The following is a 13959-nucleotide window of genomic DNA, read 5'->3' as shown; positions in this document are numbered from 1 at the left end:
CTGAGGAAGCCTCTCCGTAGCTCTTCGCAATCCCTTAACGCTTTAAAAGTGCTTTCCTAGTCCTGAGTCTCTGCGTCCCACTGGTGACGCTGGGGCGGGGCTAGGAGAGGGGAGATAAATGGGGCAGAGAAATTAACACACACCGCGCAGTCCAGGTAGGGAAACCGAGGCTCAGAGAGACCAGGAATTGAGTTTGGCCAAAATGTAACCGCGAGTAGGCTCATAACCGCGAGTAGGCTCAAATTCCGTCTCTTGCTCCTGCCAGTGCCTCTTCCTGGATTGCTGACCTGCTCCCCACTTCTGCAATATTATTTATTAATTTTATTTAGAAATTAGGTTTGAGGCGCCAATTTGTCTTAGGCACTATACTTTAGATTTTCTGCATTTACTACTTCTCGGTGTTCTCAACAGTAAAAATGGCAGTATTAGGGGTCTAAGGTTACACTGGTCCTGACTGTGGAGAGGGAAAAGCAAATGCTTTGGGGGCAGTTCAGGTAGGAGTAGTTGACCACAGAGTCCATTCCCTAAAAGGCATCCCCCCAGCGACCTTGCTGGGACCTAAATCCCAGTGCGCGATGCACCTCCCCTGCTCTAACGCCTCCCCTGGGTTCCCATTGTCCCGCAAGACTCCTCCCACCTCCCACCCCATCTCCCTTGGCTTCCCTCACCCTCCCATTAGCTCTCTGCTCAGGTCGCACCAGCCCCCTTCTTACAAATTGCCAGGCGCAGTCTTGCCTCAGGGAGTTCCCCCAGGAATTTCCCAGGTTTTTCCGTGGCCAGTTCCTTCCCTTCAGGCATGAGACAGAAAGGTCTCTGGGTGCAGGGGGCTTAAAGTCGGAAAATCACATGAAAGATTATTATCCTGGCTGGTCGCAGTGGCACATGCCTGTGATCCCAACCCTTTGGAAGGCTAAGGTGGGAGGATCGCTTGAGGCCAGGTGTTTGAAAGCAGCCTGGGCAACATTATGAGACCCCATCTCGACAGAAGATAAAAACATTAGCTGGGCGTGGTGGCATGCTCATCCTCCCATTCAAGAGAATCACTTGAGCCCAGAAGTTGGAGGGTGCAGTGAGGTATGATAGCGCCACTGCACTCCAGCCAGCCTGGGTGAAGGAACCTCTCTTAAAAAATACTAATAAAGGCCAGGCATGGTGGCTCACGCCTGTAATCCTAGCACTTTGGGAGGCCGAGCCAGGCAGATCACCTGAGGTCAGGAGTTTGAGACCAGTCTGACCAACATGGTGAAACCCTGTTTCTACTAAAAACACAAAAATTAGCTGGGCGTGGTGGCACATGCCTGTAATCCCAGCTACTTGGGAGGCTGAGGCAGGAGAATCACTTGACCCCAGGAGGCAGAGATTGCAATGAGCCGAGATCGTGCCATTGCACTCCAGCCTGGGCTACAGAGTGCAACTCCATCTCAAAATAAATAAATAAATAATAATAATAAAGGCCAGGCGTGGTGGCTTATAGCTGTAATCCCAGCACTTCAGGAGACTGAGGCGGGCAGATCACTTGGTGAGTAGTTCAAGACCAGCCTGGCTAACATGGTGAAACCCCATCTAAAAATTACCCAGGCGTGGTGGCATGCGCCTGTAATCCCAGCTACTTGGGAGGCTGAGGCAGGAGAATCGCTTGAACCTGGGAGGCAGAGGTTGCAGTGAGCTGAGATCACGCCACTGCACTGCAGCCTGGGTGACAGAGTAAGACTCTGTCTCAAAAGTAATAATAATAATAATAACAATAAAATAATAATCGTAATTGTGACTAAAAGATGTGCCTGGGGTTGAAATAGGGTTGTGGAGGCCCACAGCCTGGGTGATCAAAGAGGGCTTCTCAGAGGTGGTGGCATTTAAGGAGAGCTCTGAAGCTTGAGAAGGAAAGAGCTGAGTGAAAAAGAGAGGGAAAGGTGTTCTGGGCAGAGGGAACAGTATATGCAAAGGTGAGGAGGTGAATATAAAGTGAGGAAGATAAAAGTAGCCCTGGACCACACACAGTCAGCTAGCAGTTGGCCTGGCAGTCACAGCTAAACTGTAGAGTTTTTTGATTGACCAAACCAATTTCACGGAATGTCCACATCAGACAGGGACACTCAGACCAGTCACACTTGGCCGCAGAAAAACAAAACCCTTCCGTAATCGAGTCTTAGCACAGGTGAATACAAGAGCATTGTCCAAACCACAAAAATGGCCAAACCTCCCCATCTCCTGGCCAAAGGGCGTGACTGCTAGTTTTCGCCAATTCCCAGCAGGTTCCCCCGCCTTCTAGGTAAAAAGATTATTAAAGGCCGGGCGCGGTGGCTCACGCCTGTAATCCCAGCACTTTGGGAGGCCAAGGCAGGCAGATCACGAGGTCAGGAGATCGAGACCATCCTGGCTAACACGGTGAAACCCCATCTCTACTAAAAATACAAAAAATTAGCCGGGTGTGGTGGTGGGCGCCTGTAGTCCCAGCTGCTCAGGAGGCTGAGGCAGGAGAATGGCGTGAACCCGGGAGGCAGAGCTTGCAGTGAGCGGAGAACACACCACTGTACTCCAGCCTGGGGGACAGAGCAAGACTCCATCTCAAAAAAAAAAAAAGAGATTATTAAAATACTTAGAGAATTGTCCCACTAGCTGTTTGCATACAATCCAGGGCAGAATCCCACTCCCTTGAACTCTCCTCGAATCACCCCACAGTTGCCCTAGTTCTGTAACACGCTCCTTCTCACTTTCTCTTTCTGAGATAAACAGAACCCCTTCTGGTGTGTCTTCCTTCAATGCATTAATCCATAAACCCAGCTGGGTTTCACTGCAGCTGTTTTTCTGGTGGTATTTGACATCAACAGGACTGGATGTCCTACTGAGACTGGGCTGAGACCTTCCCTGCCACCAATCAGTACCCTGGACTCAGCAAAAGTGCACCCATCTGAGGTCAGGCACGGTGGCTCACGCCTGTAATCCCAGCACTTGGGGAGGCCAAGGAAGGCAGATCATCTGAGGTCAGGAGTTGAAGACCAGCCTGGCCAACAGGGTGAAACCCCGTCTCTACCAAAAATACAAAAAGTAGCTGGGCATGGTGGTGTGTGCCTGTAATCCCAGCTACTCAGGAGGCTGAGGCAGGAGGATCGCTTGAACCCGGGAGGCAGAGATTGCAGTGAGCTGAGACTGCACCACTGAACTCCAGCCTGGGTGACAGAGCAAGACTCTGTCTCAAAAAAAAAAAAAATAGTGTGCACATCTGAGACCCTTGTGTCTCTATCTGCTTAAGGTGATTCTGCCTGTGGCTGGAAGGTAAGTTAATGCTGACTGGAGCTTCAGTTATGATCTCATTAGGGCCCTTCTGTGTAGGGTTAATTTCGTTTACTATTCTAGGAATGAGTTTCTCCACGGCTTTTTGGTTTTCTGATCAGCCACTCTGTTCCTTGGTGAAATTGTTTTCTCTCTCGACACCTCCTCCTGTGGACTGTCTCTTGTACAGGGCTGTATGAGTTTCTGGTGGCTACAGTAGCAAATGACCACAAACTAGTGGTTTTGAAAACAACAGAAATTGGCTGAGCGTGGTGGCTCATGCCTGTAATCCCAGCACTTTGGAAGGCCAAGGCAGGTGGATCTCCTGAGATCAGGAGATCGAGACCAGCCTGACCAACATGGTGAAACCCCGTCTCTACTAAAAATACAAAAATTAGCCGGACATGGTGGTGTACGCCTGTAATCCCAGCTACTCAGGAGGCTGAGGCAGAAGAATCTCTTGAACCTGGGGGGCAGAGGTTGCAGTGAGCCGAGATAGTGCCACTGCACCGCAGCCTGGGAGACAGAGCAAGACTCTGTCTCAAAAAAAAAAAAGGAAACAATGCAAATCAATTCTCTCATAGTCCTGGAGGCTTCAAGTCTAAAATCAAGGTCTCACTTTGTTGCCCAGGTAAAAGTGGAGTGGTGCAATCTTGGCTCACTGCAGCCTCGACCTCCTGGGCTCAAGTGATCCTCCTGCCTCAGCCTCCCAAGTAGCTGGGACTACAGGCCTCACCACAAAGCCCAGCTAATTTTTGTATTTTTAGTAGAGACAGCGTTTCACCATGTTGGCCAGGATGGTCTTGATCTCTCAACCTTGTGATCCGCCCATCTCGGCCTCCCAAAGTGCTGGGATTACAGGTGTGAGCCACCGCACCCAGCCAATTTTTCTACTTTTTGTAGAGACAGGGTCTCACCATGTTGCCCAGGCTGATCTCGAATCCTGGGCTCAAGTGATCCTCCTGCCTCAGCCTCCCAAGTAGCTGGGACTACAGGCCTCACCACAGAGCCTAGCTAATTTTTGTATTTTTAGTAGAGACAGCGTTTCACCATGTTGGCCAGGATGGTCTTGATCTCTCAACCTTGTGATCCGCCCATCTCGGCCTCCCAAAGTGCTGGGATTACAGGTGTGAGCCACCGCACCCAGCCAATTTTTCTACTTTTTGTAGAGACAGGGTCTCGCCATGTTGCCCAGGCTGATCTCGAATCCTGGGCTCAAGTGATCCTCCTGCCTCGACCTCCCAAAGTGCTGGGATTGCACTGTGGGTCCATCGGGGGAAACGTCGATAAAGAGAGGACGGGCCTAGACTCAGTAAGTCACCCTTGAGTCAGTGTTGATGGCCAAAGTATTCCAAAGATCTCCTTGGACCACTGTCCTTTGGGCAACTTTTCACCATTTCAAAATCTTAGAAGGAAGCTGTGCGCAGTGTTGTGCTTCTGTAGTCCCAGCTACTCGGGAGGCTGAGGCAGGAGAATCGCTTGAGCCCGGGAGGCAGAGGTTGCAGTGAACCATGATCACAATACGGCACTCCAACCTAGGTGACAGAGCCAGATCCTGTCTCAAAAAAACAAAACCAAAACCAAACATGTCTCTCTCCAATGGTACCTCACACTGGGGACAATTTAGAATTTGAGTGGCCACTGTGAGACTTTTCCACTGGAGAGGAGACTTACAACGGAAAGACAAAATTCTCATGAGGCGATCATCTGTTGTGTTATTTATTTATTTATTTATTTATTTGAGACAGGGTCTCACTCTGTTGCTCAGGCTGGAGTGCAGTAGTGCAGTCATAGCTCACTGCAGCCTCGACCTCCCAGGCTCAAACGATCCTCCTGCCTCAGCCTCCCGAGTAGCTGGGACTACAGGTGTGTACCACCATACCTGGCTACTTGAAATGTTTTTTAAAAAATTGTGATAGGGTCTCCCTCTGTTGCCCAGGCTGGTCTCGAACTGCTGGGCTCAAGAGATCCTCCCACCTTGGCCTCCCAAAGTGCTGGGACTACAGGTGTGAGCCACCATGCCTGACTAATTTTTGTATTTTTAGTAGAGACGGGTTTTTGCCATGTTGGCCAGGCTAGTCTCGAACTTCTGACCTCAGGTGCTCCGCCCGCCTTGGCCTCCCAAAGTGCTGGGATTACAGGCGTGAGCCACCGCACCTGGCCAATTAATTATCTTTTGAAGATCCAATTTTTATGTTTGTCTAGAGCCCCCTTTATCTCCGTTCTTTTTCTTTCTTTTTTCTTCCTTCCTTTCCCTTTTTCTTTTCTTTTCTTTTCTTTCTTTTCTTTCTTTCTCTTTCCTTCCTGTCTTCCATCTTTCCTTCCTTTCCCTTTCTTTTCTTTCTGATCTCTCTCTCTCTCCTTCCTTCCTTTTCTTTCTCTCTTTCTCTTTCTTTCTTTCAATAGGAACATGGCAACATATTGAGACCTATAGGAAGAACTGTTCTTCTAACTTATTTTTTTTTTTGGCCTTCTCCATCCCTTTTCTCCTCACTTGGGAAACTTGAAAGATGACAGGCCAGCCACAGTGGCTCACGCCTGTAATCCTAGCACTTTGGGAGACCAAAGTGGGAAGATCACTTGAGGCCAGGAGTTTTGAGACCTGCCTGGACAAGATAGAGAGACCCCTGTCTCTACAAAAATAAAAAAAAAATCAGCTGGCGTGGTGGCAAGCTCGTCTTCCCAGCTACTCAAGAGGATTACTTGAGCCCAGGAGTTGGAGACTGCAGTGAGCCACCATTGCACTGCCTGCATGCACTCCAGCTTGAGCAACAGAGTGAGACCCTCGCTCAAAAAAAAAAAAAAAATCCTTACTGTGACCAAAAGATGTGTCTGGTGCTGAAATGGGTTATAGAGGCCCACAGCCTGGGTGATCACAGAGGGCTTCTCAGAGGAGGTGGCATTTAAGAGCACTCTGAAAATTGAGAAGGAAAGAGCTGAGTGAAGACAGGGAGGGAAAGGCATTCTGAGCAGCAGGAACAGCATATGCAAAGGCGAGAAGGTGAATGTAAAGTAAAGAAGAAAAAATTGGCCCCAGGCTCTGGTCAACTGGGAGTTGACCTGGTAGTCACAGTGAAGCCGAGGAGTTCTTTGGTTGAACATATACGATTTCACAGAATGACCACATCAAACAGGGCCACTCTGTCCAGGATGAAACCAGACAAAAATCAAAACCCTTCCGTAATTGAGTCTTACCACAGATGAAAATAAGAGCATTGTCCAAACCACAGACATGGCCAAACCTCCCCATCCCCTGGCCAAAGGAGTGACTGCAGTGAGATACAGTCACACCACTCCAGCCTAGGTGACAAAAGTGAGACCCTGTCTCCAATTTAAAAAAAAGAGAGAGAAAGAAAAGGAAAATCACTGTTATTCTATGTGTGGAAAAATCATTGTCATTCTATGTGCAGAAAAATCATTGTCATTCTATGTCCAGAATAGGAGTGTCCACTTTATGGCTGGGCATGGTGGCCCACGCCTATAATCCTGGCACTTTGGGAGGCCGAAGCAGGTATATCACCTGAGGTCAAGAGTTCGAGACCAGCCTGACCAATATAGTGAAACTCTGTCTCTACTAAAAATACAAAACTCAGCCAGGTGTGGTGGTGCATACCTGCAGTCCCAGCTACTCGGGAGTCTGAGGCAGGAGAACTGCTTGAACCTGGGAGGTGGAAGTTGCAGTGAGCTGAGATCACACCACTGCACTCCAGCCTGGGTGACAGAGTGAGACCCCATCTCAAAAAAAAAAAAGAGAAAAGGAGTATCCACTCCAGTTAACTATTCAAAAAGGACTAAAAGACACACACGTTTATAGCAGTATTGTTCACTATCGCCAAAAGGTGGAAACAATTCAGCTGTTCCCTTAAAGGATGCATGGATCAACAGACTGTGGTCAATCCACGAAATGGAATACTATGCAGCCATAAAAAGGAATGAAGCACTGATCCATCCCACAGCACGGATGAACCCTGAAAACACGAGGCTGAGTGAAAGAAGCCAGGCACAAAAGCCCATAGAGTGTCTGATTCCATTTATAAAAATGTCCAGGGTAGGCCGGGCATGGTGGCTCACGCCTGTAATCCCAGCACTTTGGGAGGCCGAGGCGGGTGGATCACCTGAGGTCAGGGGTTTGAGACCAGCCTGGTAACCTGGTGAAACCCCATCTATATTAAAAATACAAAAAACTTAGCTGGACGTGGTGGCGGGCACCTGTAATCCCAGCTACTCGGGAGGCTGAGGCAGGAGAATCTCTTGAACCCGGGAAGCAGAGGTTGCAGTGAGCCGGGATTGCGCCATTGCACTCCAGCCTGGGCGACAGAGCGAGACTCTGTCTCAAAAAAAAAAAAAAAATGTCCAGGGTCATGGCCAGGCATGGTGGCTCACACCTATAATCCCAGCACTTTGGGAGGCTGAGGCAGGCAAATCACCTGAGGTCAGGAGTTCGAGACCAGCCTGATCAACATGGTGAAACCCTGTCTCTACTAAAAATACAAAAGTTAGCTGGGTGTGGTGGTGGTGCCTGTAATCCCAGCTACTTGGGAGGCTGAGGGAGGAGAATCGCTTGAACCCAGGAGGCGGAGGTTTGCAGTGAGCTGAGATCGTGCCATTGCACTCCAGCCTGGGTGATAGAGTGAGACTCTGTCTCAAAGACGAAGAAGAAGAAATGTCTAGGGTCAAGCATGGCAGTTCACACTTGTAATTCCAGCACTTTGGAAGACCAAGGAGGGAGGATTGCTTTGAGCCTAGAAGTTTGAGACCAGCCTGGGCAACACAAGAAGACCCCATTTCTACAAAAAAGCCAGGCACAGTGGCTCATGCCTGTAATCCCAGCACTTTGAGAGGCTAAAGCCAGAGGATCACTTGATCTCTGGAGTTCAAGACCAGCCTGGGCAACATAGAGAGACCATGTCTCTATCTAAAAAAAGTTTTAAAAATTAGCCAGGGCTGGGCGCGGTGGCTCACGCCTGTAATCCCAGCACTTTGGGAAGCCAAGGCGGGCGGGTCAACAGGTCAGGAGATCGAGACCATCCTGGCTAACACGGTGAAACCCTGTCTCTACTAAAAATACAAAAAATTAGCCAGGCGTGGTGGCGGGCGCCTGTAGTCCCAGCTACTGGGGAGGCTAAGGCAGGAGAATGGCGTGAACCCGGGAGGCAGAGCTTGCAGTGAGCCGAGATTGTGCCACTGCACTCCAGCCTGAGCGACAGAGCGAGACTCCATCTCAAAAAAAAAATTAGCCAGGCATGGGGGCATGCACCTGTAGTCTCAGCTATTCAGGAGGCTGAGGCAGGAGGATCACTTGAGCCCAGAAGGTTGAGGCTGCAGTGAACATTGATCATGCCAATGCACTCCAGCCTGAGTGACAGAGTGAGACACTGTCTCCTAAAAAAATGAATAAAAATAGAAAGAATAATTTCAAAAATAATAAATAAAGTGTTAAATGAATTGGGCAAAAAAGAAGGGCTTAAAATAAATAAAGCCAGCCTGGGCAACATGGCAAGACCCCATCTACACAAAAATTTAAAAAATTAGCCAAGTGTGGGGCTGGGCACTGTGGCTCACGCCTGTAATCCCAGCACTTTAGGAGGCTGGGGTGGGCGGATCACTTGAGGTCTGGCGTTTCAGACCAGCCTGACCAACCTGGCGAAACCCTGTCTCTACTAAAAATACAAAAATTGGCCCAGCATGGTGGTGGTCGCCTGTAATCCCAGCTGCTTGGGAAGCTGAGGCACGAGAATCACTTGAAGCTGAGAGGTGGAGGTTGCAGTGGGCCGAGATCACGCTACTGCACTCCAGCCTGGGCGACAGAGTGAGACTCCATCTCAAAAAAAAAAAAAAAAAAAAAATAGCCAAGTGTGATGGCGCATAGTTGTGGTCCCAGCTACTCAGGAGGCTGAGGTGGGAGGATTGCTTGAGCCCAGGAGGTTGAGGCTGCAATGAGCCATGATTATGCCACTGCACTCCAGCGTGGGTGACAGAGTGAGACTCTGTCTAAAAAATAAAAAATCAGGCCGGGCACAGTGGCTCGTGCCTGTAATCCCAGCACTTTGAGAGGCAGAGGCACCCTGAGGTCAGGAGTTCGAGACCAACCTGGTCAACACGGTGAAACCCCATCTCTACTAAAAATACAAAAAATTACCTGGGCGTGGCGGCGCGAGCCTGTAATCCCAGGTACTCGGAAGGCTGAGTCAGAATTGCTGGAATCCGGGAGGCGGAGGTTGCAGTGAGCCAAGATCACGCCATTGCACTCCAGCCCAGGCAACAAGAGCGAAACTTCATCTCATAAATAAATAAATAATAAATAAATAAAAAACCAAAAAACAAAGACGAGGGAATTTGGAACATGGGGCCATGTGATGAAGAAGGCAGTGACTGGAGAGATGAGGCCACAAGCCAAGGAATTGCCAAGGATGGCTGAAGCCAGGAGAGAGGCCTGGGATGGATTCTCTCTAGGAGTCTCCAGAAGGAACCAGCACTGCCCACACCTTGATTTCGGACTTCTGGCCTCTAGAACTGTGAGACAATACATTTCTGCAGTTTTTTGTTTTTCTGCTTTTTGTTATTGTTGTTGTTGAGACAGTGTCTTGTTCTATCACCCAGGCGGGAGTGCAGTGGCACGATCTCAGCTCACTGCAACCTCCACCTCCTGGACTCAAGCAATCCTCCCATTTCAGCTTCCCTAGTAGCCGGGACTACAGGTGTGCACCATCATACCTGGCTAACTTTTTGTATTTTTTTAGATACGGGGTTTCGCCACGTGGCCCAGGTTGGTCTTGAACTCCTTGGCTCAAGCAATCCTCCTGCCTCGGCCTCCCAAAGTGCTGGGATTACAGGTGTATGCCATCATGTCCGGCCTTTTCTGCTGTTTTAAGCCACCTAGTTTGTGGAGCTGGGTTACATCAGCCTCAGGAACCTCCTGTCATAGATTTCCTTCTTTAGGCCCCTCCTAGAATGTACATTTTCTTCACATACTTAATCTCAACCTTCATCCTTCAAAATTGGATCTTAATCTTATGTCCACAAACTGCTTCTGCTGAAATCATTACAACCCTATCAGTAAGCCCAGCCCATCAAGACTGGAAACAAATATTGGGATTATCCTTGTTGTGATAATAGTCAATGTGTTCTTAGGGACGCCTCAGCAGCTGCAGGAACTGTTTAACTGACCTTAGAAAATCCCTTCCCTGGCCGGGCACAGTGGCTCATACCTGTAATCCCAGCACTTTGGGAGGCCGAGGTGGGCAGATCACGAAGTCAGGAGATTGAGACCATCCTGGACAACATGGTAAAACCCCGTCTCCACTAAAAATACAAAAATTAACCGGATGTGATGGTGCATGCCTGTAGTCCTAGTTACTTGGGAGGCTGAGGCAGGAGAATTGCTTGAACCCGGGAGGCGGAGGTTGCAGTGAGCCGAGATCGTGCCACTGCACTCCTGCCTGGGTGATAGAACAAGACACTGTCTCAACAACAACAACCAAAAGCAGAAAAACAAAAAAACTGCAGAAATGTATTGTCTCACAGTACATTCTGCATTCCAACCTGGCAAGAGAGTGAGACTCTGTCTCAAAAAAAAAAAAAAAAAAAAAAAAAGAAAAGAAAAAAAAGAAAACCCCTTCCCTTAAGGGATTACTGTGTGGCTCACTCATTTATTTGTTTATTGAGACAGAGTCTTGCTTTGTTGCCCAGGCTGGAGTGCATTGGCACTGTCACAGCTCACCGTAGCCTCAAACTCCTGAGCTCAGGCAGTCCTCCTGCCTTAGCCTCCCGAGTAGCTGGGACCAAAGGCATGGGCCACAATGCCCAGCTAAATGTTTCTTTTTTTTCTTTTTTTTTTGAGGTAGGGATGGGGTCACTCTGCGTTGCCCAGGCTGGTCTTGAACTCCTGAACTCAAGCGATCCTCCTGCCTCAGACTCCCAAAGCACTAGGATTACAGGCATGAGCCAGTGCATTTGGCCATGGGGGAAGCCTTTAAGATGGTTTGCAGTGATCCCCACCTCCTGGCATTCTGACTTTTCTCGAATTCCCTCTCTTCGAATGCGAGCTGATTGCCTTTTTTTTTTTTTTTTTTGAGACAGGGTCTCACTCTGTCACCCAGGCTGGAGTGCAGTGGTGATCTTGGCTCACTATAACCTCTGCCTCCTGGGTTCAAACAATTCTCCTGCCTCAGCCTCCCGAGTGAGTAGCTGGGATTACAGGTGCCCACCACCACACCTGGCTAATTTTTGTATTTTTAGTGGAGATGGGGTTTCACCATGTTGGCCAGGCTGGTCTTGAACTCCTGGCTTCAAGGGATCTGCCTGCCTTGGCTTCCCAAAGTGCTGGGATTACAGGTGTGAGCCACCACGCCCAGCCTTTACTGACTGCCTTTTAATCAATATTATGCAATAGAAGCAAGGAGCCATCACTTCTGAAATTAGATTTAAAAGACAATGGCTTTCTATTCTCCAGTTTCCCAGCTGCCTCTGCAGGTAGAGGTGGCCCAGGACCCAGTTCTGACCAATGAGCCCTAAGAGGAAGGATGCCATGGGAATTTCTAGGAAATATTTTTATGCCTTTATCTGATCAAAGGGAAATGCAGCTGGCTTTCCCCCTTACCCTCTTGTTTCTGCCTTGAATGTGATGTCTGGAGCTGCAGCAGCCATTCTGCAACAAGAGGCAACAAGCATGAGGAAAAAGGGAACACACTAGAGATGGCAGAACCTAAAAGAAAATCTGTGGCATCATGGAGCAGGTAAAGAAGAAACATGTGGACCAGGTGTGGTGGCTCACACCTATAATCCCAGCACTTTGGGTGGCCAAGGTGGCTGGATCACCTGAGGTCAGGAGTTCAAGACCAGCCTGGACAACATGGTGAAACCCCATCTCCACTAAAAATACAAAAATTACCCGGGCATGGTGGCACACACCTGTAGTCCCAGCTACTCGGGAGGCTGAGGCAGGAGAATTGCTTGAGCCCAGGAGGCAGAGGTTGCAGTGAGCCGAGATCACGTCACTGCACTCCAGCCTAGGCAACAGAGCGAGACTCTCTCTAAACAACAACAAAAACAACAACAACAAAACAACCAAGAAGAAACTTGTGAAGCTACCTCGTTCTGGATTTCTTAATGCTAGATAAATAAGCAAAAGGGCTGGCGGTGGTGGCTCACACTTGTAATCCCAGCACTTTGGGAGGCCAGGGCAGGCAGATCACTTGAGGTCAGGAGTTTGAGGCCAGCCTGACCAACATGATGAAACCCCGTTTCTGCTAAAAATACAAAAAATTAGTGGTGCATGCCTGTTATTCCAGCTACTCAGGAGGCTGAGGCAGGAGAATTGCTTCAACCCAGGAAGCAGAGTTTGCAGTGAGCTGAGATCGCACCACTGCACTCCAGCCTGGGTGACAGAGTGAGACTCCGTCTCAAAAAAAAAAAAAAAAAAAACAGTGGTGGCTTATGGCCTGGAATCCAGTGCTTTCTGAGGCCAAGGCAGGAGGATCCCTTGAGGCTAGGAGTTCAAGACTAGCATGGACAACATAGTAAAGCCCCATCTCTACCAAAAAAAAAAAAAAATCATTTTTTTTTTAAATGAGCTGGGTGTGCTGCATGTGCCTGTAGTCCCAGCTACTCAGGAGGCAGGGAGGGGAATGGTTTCAGAATGTTTCAAGCAGATTACATTTACTGTGCACTTTAGTATTATTATATATATGTTTTTTCGAGACAGAGTTTCGCTCTTGTTGACCAGGCTGGAGGGAAATTTGCGATCTTGGTTCACTGCAACCTCTGCCTCCCAGGTTCAAGCGATTCTCCTGCCTCAGCCTCCCAAGTAGCCAGGATTATAGGCGCCCGCCACCCTGCCCAGCTCATTTTTGTATTTTATTTTTTATTTTTTTTTATTTTTTAATTGATCATTCTTGGGTGTTTCTCACAGAAGGGGATTTGGCAGAGTCACAGGACAATAGTGGAGGGAAGGTCAGCAGATAAACAAGTGAACAAAGGTCTCTGGTTTTCCTAGGCAGAGGACCCTGTGGCCTTCCGCAGTGTTTGCGTTCCTGGGTACTTGAGATTAGGGAGTGGTGATGACTCTTAACGAGCATGCTGCCTTCAAGCATCTGTTTAACAAAGCACATCTTGCACCGCCCTTAATCCATTCAACCCTGAGTGGATACAGCACGTGTTTCAGATAGCACAGGGTTGGGGGTAAGGTCACAGATCAACAGGATCCCAAGGCAGAAGAATTTTTCTTAGTACAGAACAAAATGAAAAGTCTCCCATGTCTACCTCTTTCTACACAGACACGGCAACCATCCGATTTCTCAATCTTTTCCCCACCTTTCCCCCCTTTTCTATTCCACAAAACCGCCATTGTCATCATGGCCCGTTCTCAATGAGCTGTTGGGTACACCTCCCAGACGGGGTGGTGGCCGGGCAGAGGGGCTCCTCACTTCCCAGTAGGGGCGGCCGGGCAGAGGCGCCCCTCACCTCCCGAACGGGGCGGCTGGCCGGGACGGGGGCTGACCCCCCATCTCCCTCCCAGATGGGGCAGCTGGCCGGGCGGGGGGCTGACCCCCCCACCTCCCTCCCGGACGGGGCGGCTGGCCGGGCAGAGGGGCTCCTCACTTCCCAGTAGGGGCGGCCGGGCAGAGGCGCCCCTCACTTCCCAGACGGGGCGGCTAGCCGGGTGGGGGGCTGACCCCCCCACCTCCCTCC

The 13959-nt window shown here is 49.4% G+C and overlaps 6 annotated features.

Moving 5' to 3' along the window:
• Positions 10–548: an enhancer, noted in NCBI's record as "H3K27ac hESC enhancer chr19:18042902-18043440 (GRCh37/hg19 assembly coordinates)". NCBI's record gives its function as "activates a minimal SCP1, AML or CMV promoter by ChIP-STARR-seq in naive H9 embryonic stem cells {active_cell/tissue: H9 hESC(naive)}" and the evidence as "EXISTENCE:reporter gene assay evidence [ECO:0000049][PMID:30033119]".
• Positions 2707–2776: an enhancer, noted in NCBI's record as "active region_14290". NCBI's record gives its function as "activates an Ori minimal core promoter by ATAC-STARR-seq in GM12878 lymphoblastoid cells {active_cell/tissue: GM12878}" and the evidence as "EXISTENCE:reporter gene assay evidence [ECO:0000049][PMID:35858748]".
• Positions 3407–3506: an enhancer, noted in NCBI's record as "active region_14289". NCBI's record gives its function as "activates an Ori minimal core promoter by ATAC-STARR-seq in GM12878 lymphoblastoid cells {active_cell/tissue: GM12878}" and the evidence as "EXISTENCE:reporter gene assay evidence [ECO:0000049][PMID:35858748]".
• Positions 9826–10327: an enhancer, noted in NCBI's record as "H3K27ac hESC enhancer chr19:18033123-18033624 (GRCh37/hg19 assembly coordinates)". NCBI's record gives its function as "activates a minimal SCP1, AML or CMV promoter by ChIP-STARR-seq in naive H9 embryonic stem cells {active_cell/tissue: H9 hESC(naive)}" and the evidence as "EXISTENCE:reporter gene assay evidence [ECO:0000049][PMID:30033119]".
• Positions 12082–12827: an enhancer, noted in NCBI's record as "H3K27ac hESC enhancer chr19:18030623-18031368 (GRCh37/hg19 assembly coordinates)". NCBI's record gives its function as "activates a minimal SCP1, AML or CMV promoter by ChIP-STARR-seq in naive H9 embryonic stem cells {active_cell/tissue: H9 hESC(naive)}" and the evidence as "EXISTENCE:reporter gene assay evidence [ECO:0000049][PMID:30033119]".
• Positions 12828–13573: an enhancer, noted in NCBI's record as "NANOG-H3K27ac-H3K4me1 hESC enhancer chr19:18029877-18030622 (GRCh37/hg19 assembly coordinates)". NCBI's record gives its function as "activates a minimal SCP1, AML or CMV promoter by ChIP-STARR-seq in naive H9 embryonic stem cells {active_cell/tissue: H9 hESC(naive)}" and the evidence as "EXISTENCE:reporter gene assay evidence [ECO:0000049][PMID:30033119]".

Source organism: Homo sapiens, chromosome 19 (assembly GCF_000001405.40).
Source record: "Homo sapiens chromosome 19, GRCh38.p14 Primary Assembly".
NCBI lineage: Eukaryota > Metazoa > Chordata > Mammalia > Primates > Hominidae > Homo > Homo sapiens.
This window is presented reverse-complemented; position numbering and strand designations above follow the sequence as displayed.